This window comes from Homo sapiens, chromosome 3, assembly GCF_000001405.40.
Source record: "Homo sapiens chromosome 3, GRCh38.p14 Primary Assembly".
NCBI classification, from domain to species: Eukaryota; Metazoa; Chordata; class Mammalia; order Primates; family Hominidae; genus Homo; species Homo sapiens.
The window spans coordinates 171,755,046-171,781,830 of record NC_000003.12 but is presented as its reverse complement, the minus strand read 5'-3'; the positions used below and the strand labels follow the sequence as shown (position 1 = coordinate 171,781,830).

The 26,785-nt window shown below is 39.4% G+C and overlaps 1 protein-coding gene across 9 annotated transcripts in view; it reads left to right on the top strand.

The window, feature by feature from the left end:
* PLD1 (phospholipase D1) overlaps positions 1-26,785 on the top strand; it is a 210,080-nt gene that overhangs the window by 28,653 nt on the left and 154,642 nt on the right. For 6 of the 9 annotated variants that reach the window (XR_007095693.1, XM_005247534.3, XM_005247533.3 and 3 more), the window contains exon 1: positions 10,505-10,636. The exons of the other annotated variants lie outside the window; for them this stretch is intronic. The gene's annotated coding sequence lies outside the window, so the exon portion shown is untranslated. Of the gene's footprint in view, positions 1-10,504; positions 10,637-26,785 lie in introns of those variants that run through there. 9 annotated transcript variants of the gene reach the window in all.

Below are 26,785 nucleotides of genomic sequence, written 5' to 3'. Positions count from 1 at the left end.
CAACGGCTAGACTTTTTTCTAAGCTGGTTGTAGTTTTACACTGTGACCCATGGTGAATGAGAGTTGTGCTGTCTCTGTATCCTTGCCAGCATTTGGGTTTGACGGTCTTTTTAATGTTTACTCGTTCTGGTGGGGATGTAGCAGTACCTCATTGCGTTTTTCTTAAATTTCCCTGGTGAATATTAACATGGAGCACTTTTTCATATGCTTAGTGATCACGAGTCTGTCTTCCTTTGTGGATGTCCAGTCAAATCTTTTGCTCACTTTTATCGAATTGTAGGCATTCATTATGTATTATAAAATATTAGTTCTTTGTCAGATATATGATTTGCACATATTTTATCCCAGGCTGTGGCTTTCTTATTTATTTTTTCAATGATGACTTTAGATGAACAGAAATTTTGAACTTTGGCTAAGTCTGTTTTTTTTTCTTTTTATGTTGATTGCTTTCTAAGCCATATCTAAAAGCTTTATAATTTTAGTTTTTACATTTATGTCTATGATCCATCTCAATTTTTGAGTGTGGTGTGAGGTCATGGTTGAGATTTATTTATTTTTGCTATATAGATATTTAGTTTTTTTTTTTTACCATCATTTGTTAATAAGTCATTTTTTTTCTCTATTGGATTTTTCTCTTACCTTCATGAAAATCGAGTGACCATGTAAGTGTGCATCTATTTCTGAGCTCTCTATCCTGTTGTATTGATCTATTTGTTGATCCTGTACTAGTACCACACTGTCCTGGTTACTATAGACTTACTACGATGTCTTGAAGTCAGGTAGTGTTAAGTCCTCCAACTTTAGTTTTATTTTTTTTATGGTTGCTCTGGATATTCTAAATCCTTTGAATTTCTATACACATTTAAGAATGAGATTATTAATTTGTACAAAAAAGCTTGATGAGTTTATAATTGGTATTGTGTTGGATCTATAGATCAGTTTGTGGAGAACAGAAAATTTAACAATATTTGGTCTTTTAATCCGTGAACACGGTATATCCACTTATTTAGGTCTTTAATTTCTCTCAGCAATGCCCTGTAGTCACATTCTCATTTGAGCCCACTTTTTAGGCTTTTGCATAAATTTCTCTTGAGCCCACTCTTTAGGACATCAGTGACCTCCATGTTTCTGTATCCAGTGGTCAGTTCTCAATCTTCCTCTTTCTTCATCTCTCAGCTCCTTTGACATAATTGATCTCTCTATCATTGACGCACTCTTTTCACCTGGCTTCTGTCTTTCTCACCACACTCTCCTGGGTTTCCTACTACCCCACTGGCATTTTTTTTTTTGGCCCCCTTTACTGGACCCATCTCTTCTTCCTGGTATTTAAATGTTGGAGAGTCCTGAGTGTCAGTCCTCAGACATCCCTCCTTTATTCACCCTCAGTCAGTCTGTGGTGAAAATATGTTGCTTAAAGCTAACTACCACGTTTAAAGCCACCTGAATTCCAAGTCCTGAATCTCAGACTTATGTATCCAAACCCCAGTCCTGAATCTCAGACTTAAGTATCCAAATCCCAGTCCTGAATGTTAGACTTATGGATCCAAATCCCAGTCCTCAGACTTACATATCCAAACCCCATTCCTGAATCTCAGACTTATATATCCAAACCCCAGTTCTGAATCTCAGACTTATGTATGCAAGCCCCAGTCCTCAGATTAATATCTAAACCCCAGTCCTGAATCTCAGACTTACATATCCAAACCCCATTCCTGAATCTCAGACTTATGTATATAAACCCCAGTCCTGAATCTCAGACTTATGTATATAAACCCCAGTCCTGAATCTCAGACTTATGTATATAAACCCCCGTCCTGAATCTCAGACTTACATATCCTAACCCCAGGCCTGAATCTCAGACTTACATATCCTAACCCCAGTCCTGAATCTCAGACTTACGTCTCCAAACCCCAGTCCTGAATCTCAGACTTACGTATACAAACCCCAGTCCTGAATGTTAGACTTATGTATCCAAACTCCAGTCCTAATCTCAGACTTATGTATCCAAATCTCAGTCCTGAATCTCAGACTTATGTATACAAATTCCAGTCCTGAATCTCCAGACTTACATATCCAAACCCCAGTCCTGAATGTTAGACTTATGTATCCAAACTCCAGTCCTAATCTCAGACTTATGTATCCAAACCCCAGGCCTGAATCTCAGACTTACATATCCAAACCCCAGGCCTGAATCTCAGACTTACATATCCAAACCCCAGGACTGAATCTTGGACTTATGTATCCAAGCCTCAAACTTAGGTATCCAACGTCCTACTTCTCTTCGTTTGGATATCTAAAAGGTCTCTCAAACTTAACCTACCCAAAATGGCACTGCTGATTTGCCCCAAAAACTTACTGCTTCTCCCCAGACCCCATCACCTACAATGTTCCTCAGCTGAATAATTAGACTTTTCTCCCTGTTACTCATATGAGTCTTAGAGTCTTCCTTGACACCTCTCTTTTTTTTACACTCTGCATCACGACCCACATCAGATAATCTTCTTGGCCCTATCTTCACAGTAGATCCTAGATCTGACTACTTCTCTTCATCTCCCACCTGGACTACTGCAATATTCTCCTAAGTAGTCTGCCTTCTCTCAGTCTATTCTTTTTTTATTTTTATTTTTCATTGAGACAGAGTCTTGCCCTGTCCCCCAGGCTGGAGTGCAGTGGCACGATCTCAGCACGATCTCGGCTCACTGCAACTTCTGCCTCCTGGGTTCAAGCGATTCTCCTGCCTCAGCCTCCTGAGTAGCTGGGATTACAGGCGCCCGCCACCATACCCAGCTAAGTTTTGTATTTTAAGTAGAGAAGGGGGTTTCACCATGTTGGCCAGGCTGGTCTTGAACTCCTGACCTCAAGTGATCCACCCACCTCGGCCTCCCAAAGTGCTGGGATTACAGCACCATGCCCAGCCCCTTTTAGTCTTTTCTTTACCTACCCAACTTGTGTAATCTTTTCAAATGGCACAGTGTTTCACTTTCTTGATTAAAACCTTTCAGGGCCTTTTCATTATATTTAAGGAAAAACGTAAATGAAACTATGCAATGGTTTACAAAGCCATACATAACTGGACTCCCTAGTTTCTTCTCTCACTACACCCTCTACTGTTGCCCTTTCTTTCACAGCACTGACTACACTGGCCTTTTTGTTGTTCTTGAACACGCCAAGTTTGTATTGGCCTCTGGGCCTTTGCAGTTTCCGTTTCTTCTGCCTGGGCCCTTTTCCCAGATGATTACAGAGCCTGTCACCTCACTTCGTTCAGGTCTCTGCTCAAGTGTCATCTCCCCAGAGAGGCCTCTTCTGACCATCTTATCTAAGGAGTGTGCTACCTCGCCACTTATGCCATCTCTCTCCAGATGCCATCTCTCTCCAGTCCCTTACTCTGCTTTAGTTTTCTTAACAACACTTAGTATTATCTGGCTTTATATATATTTGTTTTAATTTTTGATAGTCTGTCTTCCCTAATAGAATATAAACTCCCTGAAGATAGAAGTTTTCTGCTTTCATCACTAATGCTGAAAACAATGCCTGTCGCATAGTAGGTGCTCACTAAGTACGTGTTGAATGCCTGACCTTGGGAAATTTAAGCTTTCTGGCCCCATTTTCATCACCTGAAAAATGAGGAAAATAATTGTATCTAATTCATATGGCAGATGTGAATGTCAAATAAGATATTGAGTCTAGTAAGATATTATGGCAATAGTGTTGGCTATTATTTTGTAATTATCATTAAGTAACATAAATAATTTAAATATCTTGTAAGCAACAAATACATATATGAATGCAATGTAAGGTAGAATTTTTGCTATATGCTTTTTACAATGGTTGATTTCAGAGGTATAACTTGTAATATGTAGTTACTGATTACTAAGTTGGAGGAAGTAGTTATAAATGCATGAAAAGTTAAATGCCATCACTATTTAAATAACCCATCCAGATAAAATAGAAAGTCGCAAGGCATAATTTGTTGCCTAATGGATTTGCGGCTGCTGATGATGATTGCTGTAGTTGTTGAGCAATTTTGTTTTTTTTTAAAGCAGGGTGACCTGAAAATGCTTTGTAGAGGACATGGGTTTGGGCCGCCCCTTGAAATGCTGGGGAGGATTTGACTCCTTTACTGTCGAGGAGGGGGAAGGGCATTGCCACAGTTGGGACAGTGGCACAAACTCAAAAGGAAGGAAGAACTAGGTAATTTGAAAAACAGAATAAACCAATTTGGCTGGAAAGTGAGGTCTTGTGAGAAAGCAGATTGAGAGCAACACAAAAAACAGGGTAGGAACTAGAGAAAATGGCTTCAGGTTAAAGGAACTGCTAGGGCAGTAGGAAACCCTTCCTTAGATTGGGTAAGCAAGGAAGGAAATGCCTCTGGGCAATTAGGAAAGAAGGTAAATCATCAAGGGCTTGTTCCTGCCAGGTTGAGTTCCCTCTTCCCTTACACGCAAGCAGCTCTAAGCGAAACCTCTGCCTTTCCTACAGCGGATGGGTGTGCTGTGTCCTGAGACAGACAGCAGTAGGAAGACCAGCTCTCCGGTTCCTGGGACATAGAAACCAATTTTGAACTCTTTTCACACACAACAATTTTCACTCTAGTTTTTAGGTGACTGATTACAAGGCAAGTGACAATTTTCACTCTGGCTCCTTATTTAAAAAAGAAAGAAAATAATAGAGAAACTTGGAAATTAAAGATCCATCCATGAACATAGTAATTTACATTGTAACTGCATATTAAGAAATGTTCAGCTTTTTTTTTTAAGCAGAAGTTACTGTATTGTGTCAGATTAGTCATATAAACCCACATTCTCATTATTGTGTAAAAGGAAGTCATGTATTATATGAGAAGGGGCCAAAGTCGTCTGTGAACTGATCAGGTATTTAAAAAGAGAGGTTATCTAGTTAACCTTGAGATAAAATTTGTTTGAAATTATACAGTTTTATGTAAAATTACAGTAATTTAAAAGGGTGCTATCACACGCGCCTTCAGTTTATTGTTATTGCCAAGTTACAAAATGATGCTACACTTTGCAGGGTTAGAATAGATTTCAGAGCAATTTGTAGTAATTAAGAATAACCTTGTAAAAGTAAAAGAAGCAAAATAAAACAAAATAAAATGAAATATAGACAGGAGCCATGACAGATGTTACAGAATAGGGAAGGGATGTGAAGACAATAGGTGCCGTTGTCATTACCGCAGCCCTGGCAACACACGTCACAGATTAAATAATGAATGCCAGTTGGTGGGCACAGAGAGGAAAGAACAGAGAGCCCATTGTTTCAGCTTGTCCATCTAATTTCAAACCAATTGCTTAAGTAAAGTCTTCTGTCTTGGTTAGAGCCAATGGCAAATTAAAGAGCTGAAATATTGCAAATCTTGTAATTCACTCTGGATCACCAATCAGAACTAAATAAAAGAGCTTTGAGCAAGGAAACAAATTCTTAGCCTTACCTGTAAATAGAAGCCTGGAGAGAAGTGCAACTCATCATTTGGGTGGGCACCCACTGTGCCCACCTCTTGCGATCAGGTTCTAGCTAGTGTGGTATGAGGGAGGGGCTCTTCATCTTACTCTTCTGTGCCCATGACTACAGCTCCATAGAGTGGGGTGACAGGTACCACCGTCCGCTGCAGCACTGGCGCAGTGCTGAGGCCCAGGAAGGAGTGTCTTCTTAGATGGCAGCTTCAAGGCACGTTTGGGTTCCTGCCTTTTCCTACTCTGAATAGATGTGATGAACTAACAGGCTAATACATGTGAAAGCCCTTTGTTTACGCAAATGAAGGGGTTACTGTTTTTATTATTTTAGGGTGTGGAGTCACGTGGTAGAAAGAACACAAAGTCAGAAGTCCTGCGTTTGCATCCTAGCTTTGAAAGCTGTCTCCATCTCATACTAGGGTCCCCCTTTTCGCAGAGCTATTTTTAAGTGTTTTCCTGTGGCTTTTTCTTTCCCCTTTTATTTTAATTAATTAATTAATTTTTTTTGTTTACTTATTTTGAGACAGAGTGTCCCTCTGTCATCCAGGCTGGAGTGCAGTGGCATAGTCTCTGCTCACTGCAACCTCTGCCTCCTGGGTTCAAGCAATTGTCCTGCCTCAGCCTCCTGAATAGCTGGGATTACAGATGTGTGCCACCACGCCCGGCTAATTTTTGTATTTTTAGTAGAGACGGGGTTTCACCATGTCGGCCAGGCTGGTCTTGAACCCCTGACCTCAGGTGATCCGCCCCTCTCAGCCTCCCAAAGTGCTGGGATCACAGACGTGAGCCACTGCGCTGGGCTCTTTCCCTCTTTAAATCAGATGTTCTTTACTTTTACTTGTGCCATGGGGACCTCTTTGACATTCTAATTAAGCTAATGAACCACTCTACAGAATATTTATTCTGTAAAATTAAACACATAAAATTAAAATGCATAGGATTACAAAGGAAACCAATTATACTGACATAAAGTTATCAATATGCAAAGAAGTAAATATGTCATATTGTAATACATGTCCTTTATTAAAATGCATTACTTACCAGTATCTAGTGGCAGGTCTAATAACTACTGTAATTTTGAAATAGTGATGAGTGGAAATGATACTTTGAGATATTGCAATAACTAATGTGATATGAAAAATCCTTGATGTCTAAGAAAATATCTTTGACGTCAAAGAAAATATCTTTGATGACAAGTTACAGAAGGAAATGATAATTTTAGTTAGAAGTTAGTAAAAATAAAAATAAAATTTTTTATCAACAGCCTGAATTCTGTCTGACACCCTTAGCCTTGCCTTAAATTTCACTCTTTCTTCTCATGCTGTACATTTTCCAGGGACAAACTCTGTGTCCCACTGTCCCCCAGCTGCAGCTGCTCCTTCAGTGTCAGTGACTCCTAAATGTGCACCTCTGCTGTCTAGGCAAAGGACTGTAGCACCTGGCCTGCATCTCCTGGGGCCTGCTGGATATCCTCCCTGAACAGCTCAGAGGACCTCAAACCCAGCCTCCCTCAGTGAACTCCTTGGCTTGAGCATCTCCCCACCCTCCTCCCACCACCCTGCCCTTCCTCCTTGTCCCTAACTCTGTGAATGGCATTAGTAACCACCACGTGGCTCCAGCCCCGAGCTGGCTTGACAAGGGAGCCAGTGCGCATGCTGCTGCGGGGTTTACGGCACAAGCCTCCTTGATACAGTTTATGAAAGTATAAACTTGTATGTCTTACAGCACTGGCCTGTGCTTGCCTTTACCTGGAATGTCTAAATTCCTACTCACCCAAAAAGGCCTCATTCCTCCTACTTACCTTTTCAACATGCATATCTGGACACTTTCCGGTTTAGCATCCGTTGGTGATGCCTCTTTGCTCCATGATGTGACATAAGAGGACTCTGCCTTCCTCACAGCATTTTCTTCTGCTGGTCCCTCAGCCTTACTAAGGTCCCTGCAGGCAGTCCCTCCAATGTCCCCCACCCCGTTTACCCTTTGCCTTGGCAGACTGAGTGAGTGCCCTCTCCCTGGGGACCCTTTCCCTTCCATGTCACCTCCAGGTCTCAGTTCTGTGGCCACTTCTCTGGAAAGCCTTTATGAGGACTGTTCACAGTGCAGGCCTTATCCACTGTCTCCCCCGCCCTTGCATTTGACCAGGGCCTGGCAGGGTTTAAGTGGTACGCACTCAGGAAGAAAGAGTTTTTAAAGTACATGGCTAGGAGCACCGACCTGGGTTCTAATCCCAGCTCTGTCTCTAACTGTGTGATCTTGGCAGTGTACTTACTAGCCTTTGGACGCCTCAGTTTTATCATCTGTAAAACTGGTATAATAGCCGGGCGCGGTGGCTCACGCCTGTAATCCCAGCACTTTGGGAGGCCGAGGCGGGCGGATCATGAGGTCAGGAGATCGAGACCATCCTGGCTAACACGGTGAAACCCCGTCTCTACTAAAAGTACAAAAAATTAGCTGGGTGCGGTGGCGGGCGCCTGTAGTCCCAGCTACTCGGGAGGCTGAGGCAGAAGAATGGCGTGAACCCAGGAGGCGGAGGTTGCAGTGAGCCGAGACAGCGCCACTGCAGTCCCGCCTGGGTGACAGAGCGAGACTCCGTCTCAAACAAACAAACAAACAAACAAACTGGTATAATAATAGAGTGGTAATGTTTAAATGAGTTGGTACTTATAAAGCACTTTAGAACCAAGCTTGGCTCATCGGAAGAGCTTATATAATAGCTATCCTTATTCATTTTAGTTAGTTTGTTTGTTTTGTTTTGTTTTTTGAGACGGAGTCTCGCTCTGTTGCCCAGGCTGGAGTGCAATGGCACGAAGTCGGCTCACTGCAACCTCCGCCTCCCGGGTTCAAGCGATTCTCCTGCCTCAGCCTCCTGAGTAGCTGGGATTATAGGTGCACTACTCCACGCCCGGCTAATTTTTGTATTTTTAGTAGAGACGGGGTTTAGATGGGGTTTCACCATGTTGGTCAGGCTGATCTGGAGCTCCTGACTCGTGATCCACCCGCCTCGGCCTCCCAACGTGCTGGGCTTACAGGCATGAGCCACTGCACCTGGCCTCATTTTAGTTTTAGTAGTACAGCTTGGGCTCATTTAAAAGTCATATCCTGCTATACTCTTATTATTGCGGGGTTTTATTAAAGAATGTAGTGTAATTTGGTGCCCACCACTTAACTTTTCTTCATCTTCATTAAGGTTAATATCAGATATTCATTTTAGAAGAATTAATTTATATGTGGCAAAAGGAAATAAATTTTTGCTGAAAGATAAGAGAAATTCTGGGAATACAGACATACAGACTGATGGAGACACAGCCCCACCAGTAGTTTATCTAGCTGAGTTGGGGATTTATTCATATTTCTTCCATTTCAAAGATTGTGTTGGTCTCCCAGGAGTATTTTTTGAAGCTCTTTCTGCAGAGGAGAGATCAATATTATTTATCAGAGGATTTCCTTGGGCATGCAAATCATCATATATGTTTGCAAACCAGATCCATGTAAAATAGATGGTTTTGAATCTACTTTTTTTGCATGAGCATTTTTATATCCTCTAGAAATATATCACTATTGTGGGGAAAAATTTAATAATATTTAACGACATACTGAATGTGACATTAATGTGCTCGCATAGCTGCTCCTTCTCTGTTTTTCTTCCAACATCAAAGTAATAACATTTCCCCTGAGGTTTGTTCAGCTCATCCAGCTTTCGCTTGGTTTTGCCAGCAGGTGGGGTACTAGCTCCTTTTAAAGTCATCAGCCACAGGTCTTGAGGCTCGTTTTCTTTTTTCCCTGAGAAAAGAAATTATCTTGCCCCCTCATTCTATGGTGACCCCATGAGATCCTCTTGAGCCCTGACCTGGGAGTGGGTAGAGGGGTGGGCAAGGTGTGTATTAGATCTAAAATAGTCTCCAGGATTTTCATGGGTGAATTTGTTGAGCTAATGGCTTATATTTCACAGGTTTTGAGTAACTTGAATTTTACCAGTAATTCATGTAAATCAGTTTGGCAACAGGTGAATCAAGCTTTGCCTGCATATTTGGTCCAATCTTATGGTTTAGGAGAAACAATAATTAAAGTTCAAAAACCTTGGTTATTGTGTTGAAATAAGTCTCATTTAAACAAAATACAAATCATGGCAACAAGCCATTAGAATTAAAACTGTTCTTGGAGTTGAAAACTAGGGGAAAATAAGTATACTGTGAACACATTGTGTTAAAAAGCTGATGTTCTAACAATATGCTAGAACATTACTGACTCTGTTTTAAGATCTAACTGCTTTAAGGAATTGATTGACTACATTTTTCTAGAATGAAACATAAATTTCTTATTTTGAAATCTTAGTGAGTGGTATTAAGTTCCATTTTAAAAGGCAGCTTAAAGATCCATGTTAAAAGACGTGTCTTAGCTTATACATCCATTCTAAATGTAGGTGGTGAAACTGAATTATAAGAATGTTTTTAAGATTTATAGACACTAAGTCAGAATCAGAAGTTAGAAGGTTCTTTGACAAAATTTCCTATTGAACTTATGTTAATCGTTGGATTTGATGAGGTTTTTAAGCTTATTCAATGTTATCTGAAAATAGTAATACTATCTACATTTGATTCTCAGAAATGATAACTTCATATGTCCCTCTTATGCAATGTGAAATTACAGTGCTATCTGTTCCATAACTGCCACACAACTTGAACAATATAAAAGTCATTTCATGGCCCTAATGGAGGGCAGACTGTATCCCCTTGCTTAAAATTAATCATTCACTTTATTGCAGTGTCTGAGGGGAGAGAAGGGAGTGAGAGTTCTCTTTGTTTAAGTTTGTGTTATGGTTTTCTTGGGCAGCAAGTACAAAAGTGCAGCCTGAAGCTGTAGCTCATTCTGTATGTGGGTTTTATTTCTCACAGCAGTCCGGTGTCTCTTTAACATATGGGGAGTGGTTTCAAGTTCATTACTAAAGCTTATAGGCTAAAGTGCTTTGTGGGCTTGGCTATGACTTAAGTTGCCTTGAGGGAGTCAGCCAAAACTGGGCTTGGGAACAGGAAGGCTTTGCCCGTTTATTTGGATTCTCAGGGTAGTCGATTTTGCCACCTCTTGGCTATCAGCTGCCTTGGAGATTGGTTTCATAGTAAGGATTCTTTCTTTAAGGTGATATGGAGCAACTGCTTTCACAGGGGCACCAGGTTAGTAAATAACATTTTGCACTTTCTGCTGCGTGTGTCAGATTTTCTTTCTGAGCTCACGGTGTGATGATAGGACAGACTGGGTTGCTGCGTTCTTTTAGAAAATAATGTGAGTTCGTTTATCCTGCAGAGGTTTAGGGGGTTATGTTTCTCCTTATAATATATGCATTTTTTGACCATATTAAATACAACTGGAAGCCAAGTGGAAATGACATATTAGTATCTGTGTTGGATTTGCAGTCCAGAGGTCTTGTTAGTAAATATCAGCCCTGCCCCCGCCCCCTTTTTTTTTTTTTTTTTTTTTTTGAGATAGGGTTTTGCTCTGTCACCAAGGCTGGAGTGCAGTTGAATGATCATGGCTCACTGTAGTCTCAACCTCTTGGGCTCAAGCGATCCTCCCACCTCAACCTCCTGAATAGCTGGGATTACAGGTGCATGCCACCGCACCCAGCTAATTTTTTTTTTTATACTTTTTTATAGAGACCAGGTTTTGCCATGTTGCCCAGGCTGGTCTCCAACCCCAGGGCTCAAGCGATTTGCCTGCCTTGTCCTCCCAAAGTGCTGGGATTACAGGCGTGAGCCACCTTGCCTAGCCTAGTTCCTTTCTTATAATTGCTTTCTTTGTGTCGTCGCACTAGACCTTCTAGGTATAAATATGATTTTATACACAGTTGATTTTATTTTTTGAAACGTTAAGTAGTGGAGTGTTGGGCCCCAGTTGGGGTTGTCCTCCCTCACCCCACTGGTGCGTGCTTGTCTGATGCACGGTTTTTCTTCAGGCCTACTCCTTGGAGTTTCAGTGAACCAGAATATCATTTTAATTTTTCTCTTTGAAAAGTCTGGCACTTTTCTGGAATGCCTCAAAATACTGGCATAAGAATTGATTCAGGCAGAATGTACAGGTGGATTAAGCCCAATTGAATTTTGTCTTCAGTTTTGCTGTTTTTATTCTCAAGTGATTCTTCAGAATACGAGATTACCCGAGGATTAAAGAACAGCTGTAAAAATGGAGTGTGACTTGTAAAACATAAAAGTATAGTTAATAGTAATTAAGAAATTAAGTCAATATAATTAAGCACAGAGAAAGACATTGTCTTCCTTAATCTCGTTAATTTAAAGATCTAAAGAGCAATTCTGCCTTTATTAATTTGCCACCAAAGCAATCTGGCATGAAATTGTTCTATAGGAGTAGTTCAATTTGGTGTTTTAAAGTTTGCAACACTTTATGAAATATAGTTTCTCTTGCTTTCATGTTACTTTAAGGATGCTTTAGTTCAGGGTAATGTACTAGTGTTTTAAATATGCTAATATGCTTCTGTTATTGCCATTTTATTCTCCTTTTTTCCCCACTGCGAAATACAGTGTATTAGAAAGGGTCTGTTCTTTCATGTTCTTCTCTGCTTAAAAAAAATTGAGGGGGAAGGGAGACAGAAATAGGTACTTAAAAAAGATCTCTGAGGTGATATGCTAAACTTTAAGGATCCCTTTCCCCATCAGTGCTAAGTTGAAGTTACAATGTTATGGCTGCATGCCATTTCGGGATTACAAAGTGGACTGTATTTTATACCCCCTAAGGCACAATTGTACAGCTGTGTTATTGCCCCTGCCTCTGTAGATATTTTCTTTAACAGTAAGTTTATTACATCATTTTAGCTTTCCCAAAAGTGCAAAGATTGCTATGACTTTGCTATGTTTTATATACATGCCATATATATGCTATTACTACGCATATATGCTATTGTGCAATTATTAATTATTAAATGATATTAAATTTTAAGGAACGACTTGTCCACCTGATTGTAGCTGCCTGATGATTTTAGAGAGAAATATTAAGACATTTTAGTCGTTGATTACTTGTTTGTGCTTGATGGGTACAGATAAAGGTCTTTAAAAGCTTACATGAAACTCATTTGTATCTTGTGGATCTCAGTTTCTGTGTTCCCAAGTGCTTCATAGCTTTTCATCTAGAGATGGTAACAAAGCAAAGACCACAGATTCGAAACAAAAATAATGTGGCAAAGGATTAGATAAGAGGGAAACTCCCTAAAAACCAGATTTTAGGGTTTTCCCAGAGAATATACACGTTAAAATGTTTCCTCCAAACGTGGGAGAAAAAAAAGGACTGTACAGTAGAGAGTTCAAAATCTGTAAATTTGGGGTAAAGTGTCTAAGCAAACCTTAGATTATTCCTGATTCTAGGTTTGGAACACACATTGCATTCTTGCTCTCATTCTGCTGGACTGGCTTAATTTTGTTATATCTGGGTCTTTTGGCTAATAAGAGATGAGCATTTGTCTCATAACATACCATCTAATTTTAAGTTGAGTTTTGTGCTAATTAATTTTTATCCAACATGCTTTCTTGTTGATAGTCAAAGTGACTTAGATGTCTCACACATCTCAGATGGTTTATGGACCTCGCTGTGACCCAGAAGGGCGTGATGCCAATTTTCTTATAAAATGAATCTGAGTTTCAAAGCTGGAGAGAAATTCTTAGGCAAACTTTTTTAACTTGAATTGGCTACGCCCCAAACGTTGAGGAAGTTGCATGGCAGTAGAAGATCAGGACTCTGAGGAAAGAATTGAAGAACTAGGAGTAGTAGTGGTATTAGAGATGAATTTTCTGACCGTCGAACCTTGGTAGATTTTCACCTGATGGACCAGTTCCGTTCTTCACAGCCCAGATCACTCCTTGTTCCTGTGTGATCACACATAGTCTTGATCTTTGCAGCGTACGGTTTGGGAGGTGCAGGCTTTTCATCTGCAGTTTATAGCCTTGTCAGCTTCATGTATTGACTAAAATGAACTGTGCCACATCTGCCTTTTCCATGCCTAACCTCCTGGTTCTTGCCCCCCTCAAGAACCAGGTGCTTGTGTGCACATAGGTCTTATGGTTACGTACCAGAAAATGTGGGAGATTGTGATGCCATCCACCCTGGAAATTCACTATTTTAGTAATGTCAGTAAATACTTAACTTCCCAGAGGGATTGCAAAAGTTGAGGATAGAGTATACTCCTGGAGCTGATCTGACCACAGAGCTCCCCAGTTGCCTGTTTCATTCTGAAGAACCCAATTTAAGTTTGACCCAGCATTTCTGGGGTAGTAGTACTACCCCAGTTAGTAGTAATAGTCATAGCAGAAGTGGTAGAATAGTGGTAATAATAATAATAATAATAATAATAATGAACACATAAAAGTCATTTCCTAAGTGCAGTCACTGTTCTAAGCCCCAGCCCCCCTCTCTTTTTTTTTGAGGCAGAGTCTCACTCTGTTGCCCAGGCTGGAGTGCAGTGGCACGATCACTGCTCACTGCAACCTCAAACTCTTGGTCTTAAGTCAGCCTCCCACCTTGGCTTCCCAAAATGCTGGGATTACAGGCATGAGCCATGTAAACAAAATGCTGGGATTATAGGCATGAGCCTTGTAAACATGCCCGGCCTGTTCTAAGCCTTTTCCTTAATCCTCACAACAACCTTAAGTTGTTGATTTTCTTTATTATCTCCATTTTACAGTTGAGGAAACTATTCAAGAAAGTTAGATTGACCTAAGTCAGAGCAACTAGTAGGCAGCTATGACAGTGTTGTGCATCAGAAGGTGCTGTGGAGGGGGAAGAACTGAAAATAGAATCCAATATTAGAAAAATATAAGAAAAAAATACAACCTAATACATTTTGGATTGTATTATGTCCAATATAACCCAGTACTTATTATTGAGAAACAACCATGTAGATACTGACATCTGTGCTGCTCTTCATTTAGAAGATGCTCTGTTGACTTACTGTCAACCAGCAAGGCAAGCCATTGGTGTCCTTTCTCTACTTGGGTTGGTAAGCTTGTGCTCCACTTTCTCACCTACTCTGCTCGTGACCAGTGGCAAGAACCTGGTGACCAATGGCAGGATATAGAGGTTGCCCATGGCCCGTAAATGAGACCAGTAGTGGCCAGGCCGTATGGAGAATAGCCCACTGCATTGAATACTGTCTTTTAAACACTTAAGCTACTTTTGGGATTTTAGAGACTTTTTAAGGCTAAAATAATAAAGCCACTAAAGCTAGGAACTTGGACTTTTCTGATTGTTTAGTTTTAATTTGGCCAGTAGGAGTGTCCTCTTTATTTCTGCCCAGTATGACTTCCTGCTAGTAATCAAAGCTCTGGTTATTTGGCAGTCTTGAAGGTTTCCTTAAGTTTAGTGGATAACCAAGATTATGAGACATATATTTTTTTAAAAGACATAAATGTGCATTTGAAAAATATTGGGCAAATAACTTCTACCCAATTTGGCTAAAATTTAAACGTGTTACAAATAAGTTTAGAACCTTTAACAATATAGAACAAGATAACCCAGACAGATTAAGGAGCTAACTTAAAAGAAAGAAAAGAAACGAAAAAATAAAAATTCTGATCTTTGAATGGGTAAGCACTTTCTCTTCCCAAAATCAATAGAGGAAATCACAAAAGGAAAAAGTCAATAGATTTAAATTTTCTAGGTAGGAGTGTAGACGCTTTAAGTATAAAAATGTTAATTGAAGCATTATTTATTACCATGAAAAGTTGCAAATAATAAAAACATAAAGTAGCAGAAGAAAATTGCATGACGGACCATCACAATTTTATTTATGGAAAATTGTAATAGGAGGAAATGGTGATGATAGATATTTAAGTAAAAATAATGGATATTAAACTATCTCTCCATCACACATCTGAATGTGTTTAAAATATACCTCTCTATGTGTGTGTTATGCTTACAGAGACAATAGAACGGATGATCACCTTAAGTTAATAGGGATTTAGGGGTTATTTTGAAGGTGGGATTTCTGATGATTTATATTTTCTTCTTATACTTTTCTACATATTGGTATTTTAAACATGATTACTTTATATTCATTTTAAAAAAGGGAAAAACTATTCATGGAGAAAAAAGTGAGACTATACCAACATATAATAGTAGAAATAGTAGACTAACATTACTCTTAATCTATTTAAGGTATTGGCTCTAAAACTGATTTTAATTTCCTCAAATTTGTATATATTTAAGGTTTTCTTAGATGAGAATTTATCATTTTTATAATAAAAATTAAAATTGATTAGAAGTGACAGGTTAGAGTTGAGGTAAAATGAATTTTTATAAAGGACAGAATCATTTTACTTTGGAGAACAATTATATTGCTGCCCTTATACATCATGTTAGGAAACACCTTTTTGACTTTTCTGTGTCAAGCTTAAAATTTCAGTTAGGTTTTTATAGCTAATTAAACTATAAGGTAGATAGTGTATTTAATAAAGGATACGGAGGAAGTTCATGTAAATACCTGAAACATCAGTCCAGGAAAGATTCTTTGAGAGATTTTCAATATGTCCAGATGTCTGGATAACAATTCTTTGGTCTAAACGCAGTTGATGATGTGATGAAAGGGACAAGTCAGCATACCAAGACAATCCTTAGAAGGGACGATTTGACTGGAATGCTGAAGACAGAAGAAAACCTTAGAGTAGCTGACTTCATACTTCCCCTTCCTCATTTTACAGATCAAGTCACTGAAGCCCAAAATGATTGAGTCCTCAAGTCTACAAGGTCGTAGTAGATTCGAATGGAAGCTTTTGGGGTCCTTTGATTCCCCCTCTGCTGCTCTTTATAATATTCTGCTCGTTTTCACACACTTTAGTAATGATGAATGAAATTTTATTTCCATTTCTCCTAGGTTGGTAAAAACTCAAAGCTAACACCATTCAGAACTTACCTAATGATGTTTGAAAAAGAGGCGGTAGGCTGATAACTGCTTCCTAGGAAGACCTACCAACTTCACCAGCATGCTCATTACTCTCATCATTGTTGTTGGAACATTTTGTTCTTGGGTACAAGCTTACTTTACACACATCTGGTTACTATGTTTGTTCTGGAAGACGGCAGCCTCATGGAGTGACTAGAGAACACTTGATACTGAGCTCTGGAAATCGTTTTTTAACAGCTTTATTGATATTGTATAATTTACAGATCATCAAGTTAAGCCCTTTAAAGTATACAATTCATTGGTTTTTTGAATATCTACAGAGTTGTGTGACCATAACTATAGTCCATTTTTTAAACATTTTCATCACTCCAAAAGGAGACTTTGTACCCATCCTCCCTACCTCTCTCTTTTCCTCCCCTAGCTCTAGGCAGCTTTCTTTCTTTTTCTTTTTCTTTTTCTCTTTCTTTCTTTCTTTCTTTCTTTCTTTCTTTCTTTCTTTCTTTCTTTCTTTCTTTCTTTCTTTCTTTCTTTCCTTTCTTTCCTTTCTTTCTTTCCTTCCTTCCTTCCTTCCTTTCTTTCTTTCTTTCTTTCTTTCTTTCTTTCTTTCTTTCTTTCTTTCTTTCTTTCTTTCTTTCTTTCTCTTTCTTTCTTTCTTGATTTGCCCATTTTGAACATCTCATATGAATGGAATCATGCAATATGTGAGAATCCTGAAAATTTTGATTTGATTTTCAAAGACCGTGTAGACAAACATGACCTGGTTACTCTGCAGGCCCCATCTTCCCAACAGTGTCCTGAGTGTGAGATTAAGACCAAATGAACTCTGTCAGTGCTGCCAACTGTTTTATTGGATTAAATGACTTGTTTTTGGCCTCTGGAGTGTCTAACTCTTTAACTTTTCAAAGTTAAAGAAAAGTACATACTCATTAATGTGAGTGTGTTGTAGGCCATGTTGCAAAATTACTGGGTTAGATCATTGCTTATTAGTTGTGACCTTGAGCAAATTACATGACTTCTCTAAGACTCAACTTCGTTGCCTTATAAAATGGGGATAATAATTGTACTTACCTTAGAGGGTTCTTGTAAGAATTAAATGAAATAATGTATATAAAAAGCTTATCATAATGCCCCATACATTATAAGTGTTAAATGAATATTAGTGATTCTTATGTGTCATCAAAAATAAACTGTAGACCAGGCGCAGTGGCTCATGCCTGTAACCTCAGCCCTTTGGGAGTCTAGGCAAGAGGATCACTTGAGCCCAGGAGTTTCAGATCACTCTGGGCAACATAGAGAAACTCCATCTCTACTAAAAACATAAATAAAATTAGCTGGACGTGGTGGCATGTGACTATGGTCCCAGGTATTTGGGAGGCTGAGGTGGGAGGATTGCTTGAGGCCAGGAGTTCAACGCTACAGTGAGCTTTGATCACCCATTTTAGTAATGATGTATGAAATTATATTTCCATTTCTCCTAGGTTGGTAAAAACTAAACGCTAATGCCATTCAGCATTTACCTAATGATGTCTGAGAAAGAGGTGGTAGGCTGATTACTGCTTCCTAGGAAGACCTATCAACTTCATCGGCATGGAGACAGAGCAAGACTCTATCTCAAAAAAAAAAAAAAAAAAAAAAGAAAGAAAGAAAATAAGCTGTATAATGTTATTTTATTCTATTTTTATGACTTTATGCTATACCAAGGATTTGAATTGGCTTACAAGAATATTTGCATAACATTAAACATATACACATACATACACCCAAGAATAAAACATTAAAATCAGGGATCAGGAATAATTGTGTTAATAGAAAGATAATATCAGAGGAAATAATAACAGTAGTAATGATAGCCAACATGTATACAGCAGGTTCTCTTTTCTTTTCTCCTTTTTTCTCCTCGTCTTGTCTCTCCCCTCCCCTCCCCTCCCCTCTCCTCCCCTCCGCTCCCTTCCCCTCCTCCCCTCCCCCCTCCCCTCCCCTCCTCCCCTCCCCTCCCCTCCCCTCCCCTCCCCTCCTCTTTCTCTTCTTTTCTTCTCTGTTTTAGAGCCAGAGTCTTGCTCTTTTGCCCAGGCTGGAGTGCAGTGGTGTCATCAAACTTCACCGCAGCCTTGACCTCCTGGGCTCAAGCTAATCCTCCTACCTCAGCCTCTCGAGTAGCTAGGACTACAAGTGTGAGCCACCATGCCTGGTCTATAGCATGTTTTTAATAAACCTTTCTTTCAGTGTCTTTCCATGTGAGTTGAGGGAATAATGCCAAATCATAAATGAGCAGAGACAACCAAATGAGAGTCCCAGGCTGGGAAGGACCTTCGATGGTTTCTGGTCCACACTCACACTGGGGCATGAGACTTTGCCATAGAAGACAATTTGCTGTGGTATGGTGCTGGAACTCAGAGTGTGAGAGTGAGTTCACCATCTCACAATATGAATAGCTACTATTTATATGTATCATAAGCACTTACTATGAGCTAAGTTAGAATTAGAATCCAAAATGACTCCAAAACTATGTAATCAGGAAGTAAAATTGCTTACTTAAGGCAACTAGTTTTCTTGTTAATAGTTCTGTTTTATAGAATGTTCTCACACATGTTAAACTGAAATTTACACTCTTATAGCTGCCCCCTTACCCTCCCAAGTCTAGTAATATCTTCTACATGGAGAACCAAATGCCTAATCTGCTAGTCCTTCAGATATCTGAAAACAATTATCATTATCCTCACCTAACTCACTTTCTTGCTCAGACATCCAGAGATGCATATATTGTTCCTTAGATTGCACAGTCCGACCCACCATACCCCTTCCTCTCTCCTGGAACGGGCTTTCCACTCACGTGAGCTCCTAATTGGTCTTCAAGATTCCTGTCCAAGGTGCTTTATCAGCGGCAACCTTCCCCAATGCCCAGATGTTGAGCAGCTCCTCCTCTGGGTCCCCGCTACACTTCTGTTCACACTCTTGAGAATTCACTGTGTCCTCCCCTGGCTTGTGAGCCCCTGAGAGAGAGCTCTGTTTAGCTTGTGTTCCTAAACCCCATCCCAGCCCCTGACACTTAGTAGCTTCTCAATACAGTGGAAGAGGGAACTTGATCTTACTTCATGTGGATATTTAACTATATCTGATTTTAGAGAGTTTGCAACTATAAGAGATGTTTTTGGATATAAAATGTGTAGACAAACCTTGATTAACTGAGGGCTGAAGAAGATGACCAAAAAGCCTATGGCTTCTCCTAGACCAAAAGTAGCATCATCTGGGGAATAAGACTGTGAAGCCCTTGCACTTGGTTACTGCATCATTCATTTTCACTTGGTGTCTGCTAATATCCTGATGTAAGTAAGGTGCTCGTCTGTTGGACAAGGTTGATACCCACCACCTTTGCTCAGAGAAATGTAAATAAAATGATTGTAACATTTTACATATGGTTGAATGATAAAGTTCACAGTAAACTTAATACCAGTGTTCAAATGAATGCTGATAAGAAGATAGAGTCCAAAGTTACGTTTCTGTATTAATCTGAGACCTTTGCAGTTTTCATGGAGTATGTATAGATATTTTTTCTTAATGTGTGGATAGAGGGTTAATTTAAGAAAATGTGTGTTAACGGGGGAAACAAAGAGGCTGGCCTGCATCTAAAGGAAAGAAAGTGGATCTTACCAAGGGTTTGTTGTGATTCATAAAAACTGGTCCACATCTTAAATGGATTAATTATAGGCCCAACTGGAACATTCTTCACAGAATGAGCCCAGGTGCTGGTCATTTTATCTGGGAGTCTCAGGACTTACCACGTGCCTACTCTGAGCACTAGACTTAATACTTTCCCACTCTGTAAATCCTAGGAAACACTGCTTCTTGACACCTGAGTTTGAATTTTCCAGGCTTCTCCATCCAAGTTGAGTCTGCCTCCCTTGTGCATAGTTACAGCACCAGACACCCCGGTAAAACCACCTTCTTCTCCTTGCTTTTTGCTGGTTTTGCTCTGGTGGAGGTCTTGCCTAGGTCTGGAGGAGGAAGAGTCAGGTGTGCAATTCTGAAGTTGAGGTAGATGCCAGCGTGTGTTTTCTGAGACCAAGGAGGCTCTCCTGGAGAGTGCTGGCTCTAGGAAACTCAGGGGCTGATGAAGCATCTCCTTTTTTAGGAAGCTCTGCATTTTCAAAGGCCTTTTAACTGTTGGATGGCTGGATGTATTAGAAAGTGAGTGACTTGCCATGGTCTGTAGAAGGGGATATCCAGACCCTTCTTTGCCTGACTATAAAGTGTGTTCCTACCACTTGCTCTGCTCCCTCCCAAGTAGCCCTGCTGTGATGTTGGCTGATCCAAAATTCCCAGGGCTTTCTCACAAGAATAGCTGCTAGTCCAGGCAACTGCCAGCCTATACATGTATACGTGTGTTTAAACTTAAATGAAGATGTATACATTTATCTTATTAAATTTTGTCTCTTTTATTTAGCAAGGAACAACTCTGTGTATGTCCCTTTCCCCATATTTTTACAGTGTGATTACCCGATCAAAAAGTATAAATGCTTTTGTTGCTCTTCAAATATCCTACTAAAGTTTGCCTGAGAATGGTGTCTCCATTAACAATGCCACCAGCAAGAGGTTGCTTCAGCACAATTGTTACTAGCTTTTAATACGATCCATTGCTTGTCTCATTTGGGCTGGGAACTTGGGTCCCTTGTGGAAAACTCATGCATGTGATTCTCTCTTGGAGTTCCTCAGGTCCCCCTTAAGCTCCCATCCTAGGCTGACTCAGGCTGGTGAGTTACCCTGCCAGGTGCTCCCTTGGTAATTAACATGTGTCTCCAGGTTGCAGTGGCCTCTGGACTCCGCCTTGAGCCAGACACCTTGGATTGCACTGCCCCAGACTTTGCTGTGCTTCCCTCTCATCCTCTGACTTTGAGCATGCTCACTTTCTTCCTTTTCCATCATTGTAAAATCCTAGGTTATTTTAGGCAGTTTATAGAAATTCTCTGAAACTAGAGGATGTCTCATGACAGTAACAGAATAAGAGTGTTGAGAATTAAAAGCAATTCTTTTTATAGAACCACGGTGGTTGAAGGAGGGATGTCTTGCAAACTTTCTAGAAGATAATACCTAGATGATTGATTAGCAAGAAATCCATTCTAATTATTCTAGTTATCACTAGATGAAGGCAGGGAAAGTGATAGCAGAAAGTGTGAAGAATGTGTAATTGAAGGCATTAAGGAAAAGAAACCACCTGCTAGATTTTAAATCACAAAAAGGATAAAACTCAATAAAAGAAAGAATTTCTACCTGTATACTGTGTCATTCTCTTAGTTCTAGGAAGTGTAGATCTGTAAAAATGTAATTTTAAAAAATAAATGTAATTTATTTTTAAAACGGGAATAAATAAAAAAGTCAAATATACTTCTTGGCTTCTACTAAAACCTCCTTTCATTATTTGCATGACTATTATAGGTGGAGTTATTAGGGTTCGATAACTCTATCTTGACCCTTTTGTAGCAACAATGAAATATCAGTCTTGCTTTTGCAAGCAAAATAGCAGAGCTTCTGCCCTTGGGGAAGCAAGAGAAATGACAATAACCGAAAGGACAGTAAGACTGTTCTGTTAGAACATCAGTGTTGGGTTTTTGTTAAGAAAAGAAGTAAAACAGCAAGTGGCCAGACAAGCTAATTGCTAAGTAAAATGTAAATTGAATATTGGGCAAGATGTTAAAAAGATGTTTGAATAAGTAAATATTAACTAAACAATTAGCAATAGATTTGATTATGCTACATGAAACAAAACGGTATGTGTATAAACACAAAGCCACGTACATACACAAACGTGTAAAATATCTTTAATTTTCAGGAATGGAATTCTCTAGCTTTTCTATTAGGAAACTAGAAGGTTCCCTTTTCTTCTTTTTCTCCCTTTTCTGCTCCCCAAATTTCCCTTTCTGTTCTTCTACTACTACCTACTTACCCGCTAACCATCAAGTTACTAGTATGAGGGCATAGGGTTGAGAGAATGTATTCTGGAATTAAATTAGAAGAAGAAAATTCCATAGAATTTCTCTTTCAAAGAATAAGTGTAAAATTATCTTTCTTGAATGAAAAGGAAAAAAATTAGTATCTTCAGTAATTAGTATCTTCAGTATCTGGATATCATCAAAATATAACTTCATTCCATTATTTGCATGACTTTTATAGGTGGAGTTATTGAGCAAAATGAACTCTCTTGTGAGAGGACAGCTACTGTCCTGCACCTCTCAGCCAAAAATGCAGGACCTTCTGCCTGAATAAGGCATACCGCTTAAAAAGAAAACCATAAACCTTACTGAAAAAAACTCATTTAAATCCAGTTTAAGCTCGTTTGTTAGCCTTAGTGTTGTATATGTGCTAAAAAAAAAATTGTGTTAATATTTAAAAGGAAAAAGTGGCCTTGACAAGAAGCAACTGCTGGATTGTGAAGGAAGGTGGTAATATCATACACATGTTGAGTTTTATCAATCCACAGGGCAGCTCTACTTTGCCTGATGAGTGATTCTGTATTTGCCAAAGACTTAATGTATTTTTATTTGCTACATGATACATGCTTCTAAAGACAGGTTTGGAAATTTCAGAGAGAAGTAGAATGATAGATACACTCCCTATAGATTCAGTTATTGCTTCTGTCACCAGTTCTCTGGGGATCTTCATAGGTCCTGACTTACAAATATCCATATGTCACTATCCAGGAGAAGGAAGGTCCTGATACAGCCAAAGCCAGCTGGTTTTGTTCTCTCTGGGCACAACGCTTCTGTCATATTTTCCTTCTTGGACATTCTTTCCTCCTATCATGAAGGAAGTGTTTTACTTTGGATCTAGTCTAAACCAGTGTCTCGGAAGCTGATATGCATATGGCTCACTTGGATGTTTTGTTAAAATGCAGATTCTGTTTCCAGAGTGTGGCCAAGGTTTTGCATTTCCAACAAGCTCCTGGATGATGCCTACGAGGCTAGTCCATGGACCACACTCTCAGTAGCAAGGATCTCTAGGTTTTAATTGTCGACAGTCCCAGAGAGACAGATGGTGGGGAAAGGTGAGCAATAAAACAGAGATTAAATGGAGGAGCAACATTTGTTCATTGATCACTATGATTACTTTGGCCAGTGTCCAGTTAAGTTCAGATAGGGGGCAGTGCACATTGATTAAGAAATTGGGCCCTGCGGTCATCTTTCTGCCACCCACCAGCTGAGTCACGTGAGCACATGACCAATCCCTCTAAACCTCAGTTTCTGAAGTTATGACATGCAAATAATATGAAAATTTACACTATAGGGTTATTGTGATGATTAATATAATGTACATACTTAATAAGGGTTTGCTAACTATTAGCTATTAGTAGTAATAATCCAGGAAGCATTTATTGAACATCTACCACATGCCTGGCATGTTAAGGTAGAGATGGAAAGATTAAAAGCCAGCTCTTTAATTTCAGAGGAGATTTAATTGGTTTATTTGAGAGTCCCCAGAGTTGAGCTAAGATCTAAAACTTTTGACTCCAGGGCCAGTGCCCTTTCTGTCCACATGCTCATTGGCTATTTCTTATATTGGGTAGCTATAAGGAAACAAAGCTGGTTTCAGACCAGCTTTAATTAAGTAAAAGCCATGTGCTGAATCAGTGAATTGAACATGTTCTGACTTTTAAGACCAAGTGATTTACATTTAGTTCCTGTGTTTGAGCGAGGTATCTCTGAAGATGGAAATCAAAGGGCAGGTTTTCATTTTGTTTTGTTTCGTTTCTTTATCAGCTGAAACTTTTTCTTGGGTAACTAGAACTGAATGATATCAAAGGCAGGTATAATCAATTTTTATTCTGGCAGATCAAATTCTGAGCATATACATGCCTTCCACTTTTGGCATCTATCTTTCTGAAAGTGAAATCCGGAAAGTGATTTCAAAAGGACTCTGTTTTCACATGAGCTAACTTGTTTCTCTAATAGAGACTAAAAATTTTGCATCCCGTGTCTTTTCCAACAATTGCCCAGCATGAGTGTGTGTGTGCCTTTGAGGAGCTGGGTATTCCTGCTTTGTGTCCATCTTTTCTACATTTTTTTGGAACCCTGTCTTAAAAAGGAAATGATCACTGACCCAGAATTTCTCTTTTCTTTATCTGATTGTTTTTTCTAGTTATTGAGCCTTCCATACTTTCTCTGAACTTACAATAGTTTTCTTTGTGACACATACTTTTGTAGTTTTTTAAAGACGATAATAGTTCCCAGTATGATTTCTGTGTTTGTGAAAACATAATTATCTCACTGAGCAGAGTCTTCAGAAGAAAACAGTGGAATTAAAGTAATATTCAATGTAGACGTCGGTAGATTGCTTTCTTTAAGTGTTTTGACAATGTCTTTTCCCCTTTTCTTTTTAGTATAGGCAATTTGTCTATTTTTGTTATAAGAAATGTAAAAATGGTTTTTGCCTCTGGTTTTTCTGCCATGGGATCAAGGAAAATTACCTGCCCTTTCTTTGAATATTGATTGATTTTTACAACTCAGGTCATTATTCCTATGCCATTGCTGATTTTAAAAAAATCTTTATTGGGATATAATTTATAAACCATGAAATTCACCCACTGAAAGTGAACAATTCAAGATTTTTAGTGTATTGACGGAGTTGTCTTTGCAGATTTTTGCTAGCACGTTGTTCCCTTCTCTTTCTACTGTGTATGCTTTAGTTCCTCTGTATTAACATTTCTTTAATGAATTTTGCCACTATTTATAGTTTTGGGCAGATGTAAGTACCATAACAATGACTTTTTAACAGCTACTAACTTAAGGCACATCCTGATTACATCGTATGTTTTTATTCACTTTATATTAATGCCATTTTAATGGTGAATCAATAATCTGTCAACTATGCCTATGCATTCTTAAGCCTGGCATGTTCTTCATTACCCCTTCCATCCTTTCTTCCCCCCGAACCTCACCGTCGACACACATCCAGTTTAGCTTGTTTACCTTAAATATTGCATTGCTTCTTAAATGTGACAGACAGAATTCTGGTGGTCCCATTAAGGCATTACTTTACACAGCTGAAACTCATCTGGAAATCATTGTTCCCTGTAGCAACTTTATAGAGAGCTGGTTTTCTGTTTAGCAGAATATAAATTTGTGATAGAATACCATAGTTTAGCTGGGTAATTAAAAATAACCAAGTAAAAGTGATGTTACTTATCCTACAAAATCATATTTGGGGCAGCCCAAACTTATTTTTACTGAAGACTTTTTAGCTCTAGGACCACAGCATCAAGACCACTCTGGCAGAAGGGGGTGGAAAGGTAAAGTCTAAATGCCTTAACATCACCTGCCTTGTACTCTATGTCCAGGTACACTGCACCTTTTTCATTTCTTCAAACATATCATGGTTATGGAGTTAAAATACAGTGGTCAGATGGGAGAGATATTTAGAATTTGGCTGGATTTATTAATTGATTGGATATAGAGAGTTAGGAAAGAGAATTGCTAAGGATGAGTTCCAGGATTCTGGTTTATGCAGCTGGGTAGATGATGTTTCCAATTTTCTTCAAGAAGAAAACATAGGAAGAGGGAGTGTTTTGTGGTTAGAAGATGATGAATTCTGTTTTGAGCATATTGAGATGCTCTATGGGATCACCCAGTGGGGAAGTTCCTAGGCAGCTGGATAGATAGGTCTGAAGATCAGGACAAGGATCGCAGTTGGAAACAGTTACTGAGAGCCCAGTAGATGCTAGTGATGGGCAATACAGAGATGGCCTCTCTCTTCAGGGAGCTCCCAGTCTTTTAGGGGAGACAGAAGCCAAGAGGAAAGGAATGTATTCACTAGTGGTATCCCTGAGTAAAGGAAACATCAGCATGTATTTTAACCATTAGAGTGGATGAGATCACCCTGAGAAGAGTGAGAAAGAATAATCCTGGGACCCTGAATAATATTAGCATGTAAATTTTGAGCACAAGAAGAACAGCATCAAAGAAGACTTCATCTCAGTTGGCAGAGAGGGAGGAGGAAAACTAGAGGAGTGTGAGAACATGTAAGCTGAGGAAAGAGACCCTCAAGAAGGATGCAGTCAAGGGTTGTGCAACAGAAAGATTAAGTGAGATAAGAATGGGGAAGTGTCCTTCGTATTCTGGAATATGCAGGTGGTTATGAACTTTGGAGAGAGCTGTTTGGTGGAGTGTACAAATGGAGGCCAGTGGCAGCAAGTTAAAGAAGGAGGAGGGATGAACTAGAAGGAGGAAGTAGACAACTTTCTTAGGAAGTTGACTTTGAAAAGGGGGTGAGAGACATAGCTGGAAAGCCCCATAAATACCAGTCTATGTAGTTGAGTGCTGTTTCTGCAGCCCCTGTTTAGAAGCCTTGGGGTAAGTGCCAAGAAGGCAGATAGTTCGTGTGGCCCAGGATTGAATTTCTCCAGATGACTGCAAAAGAAGGACATACAAGCAGA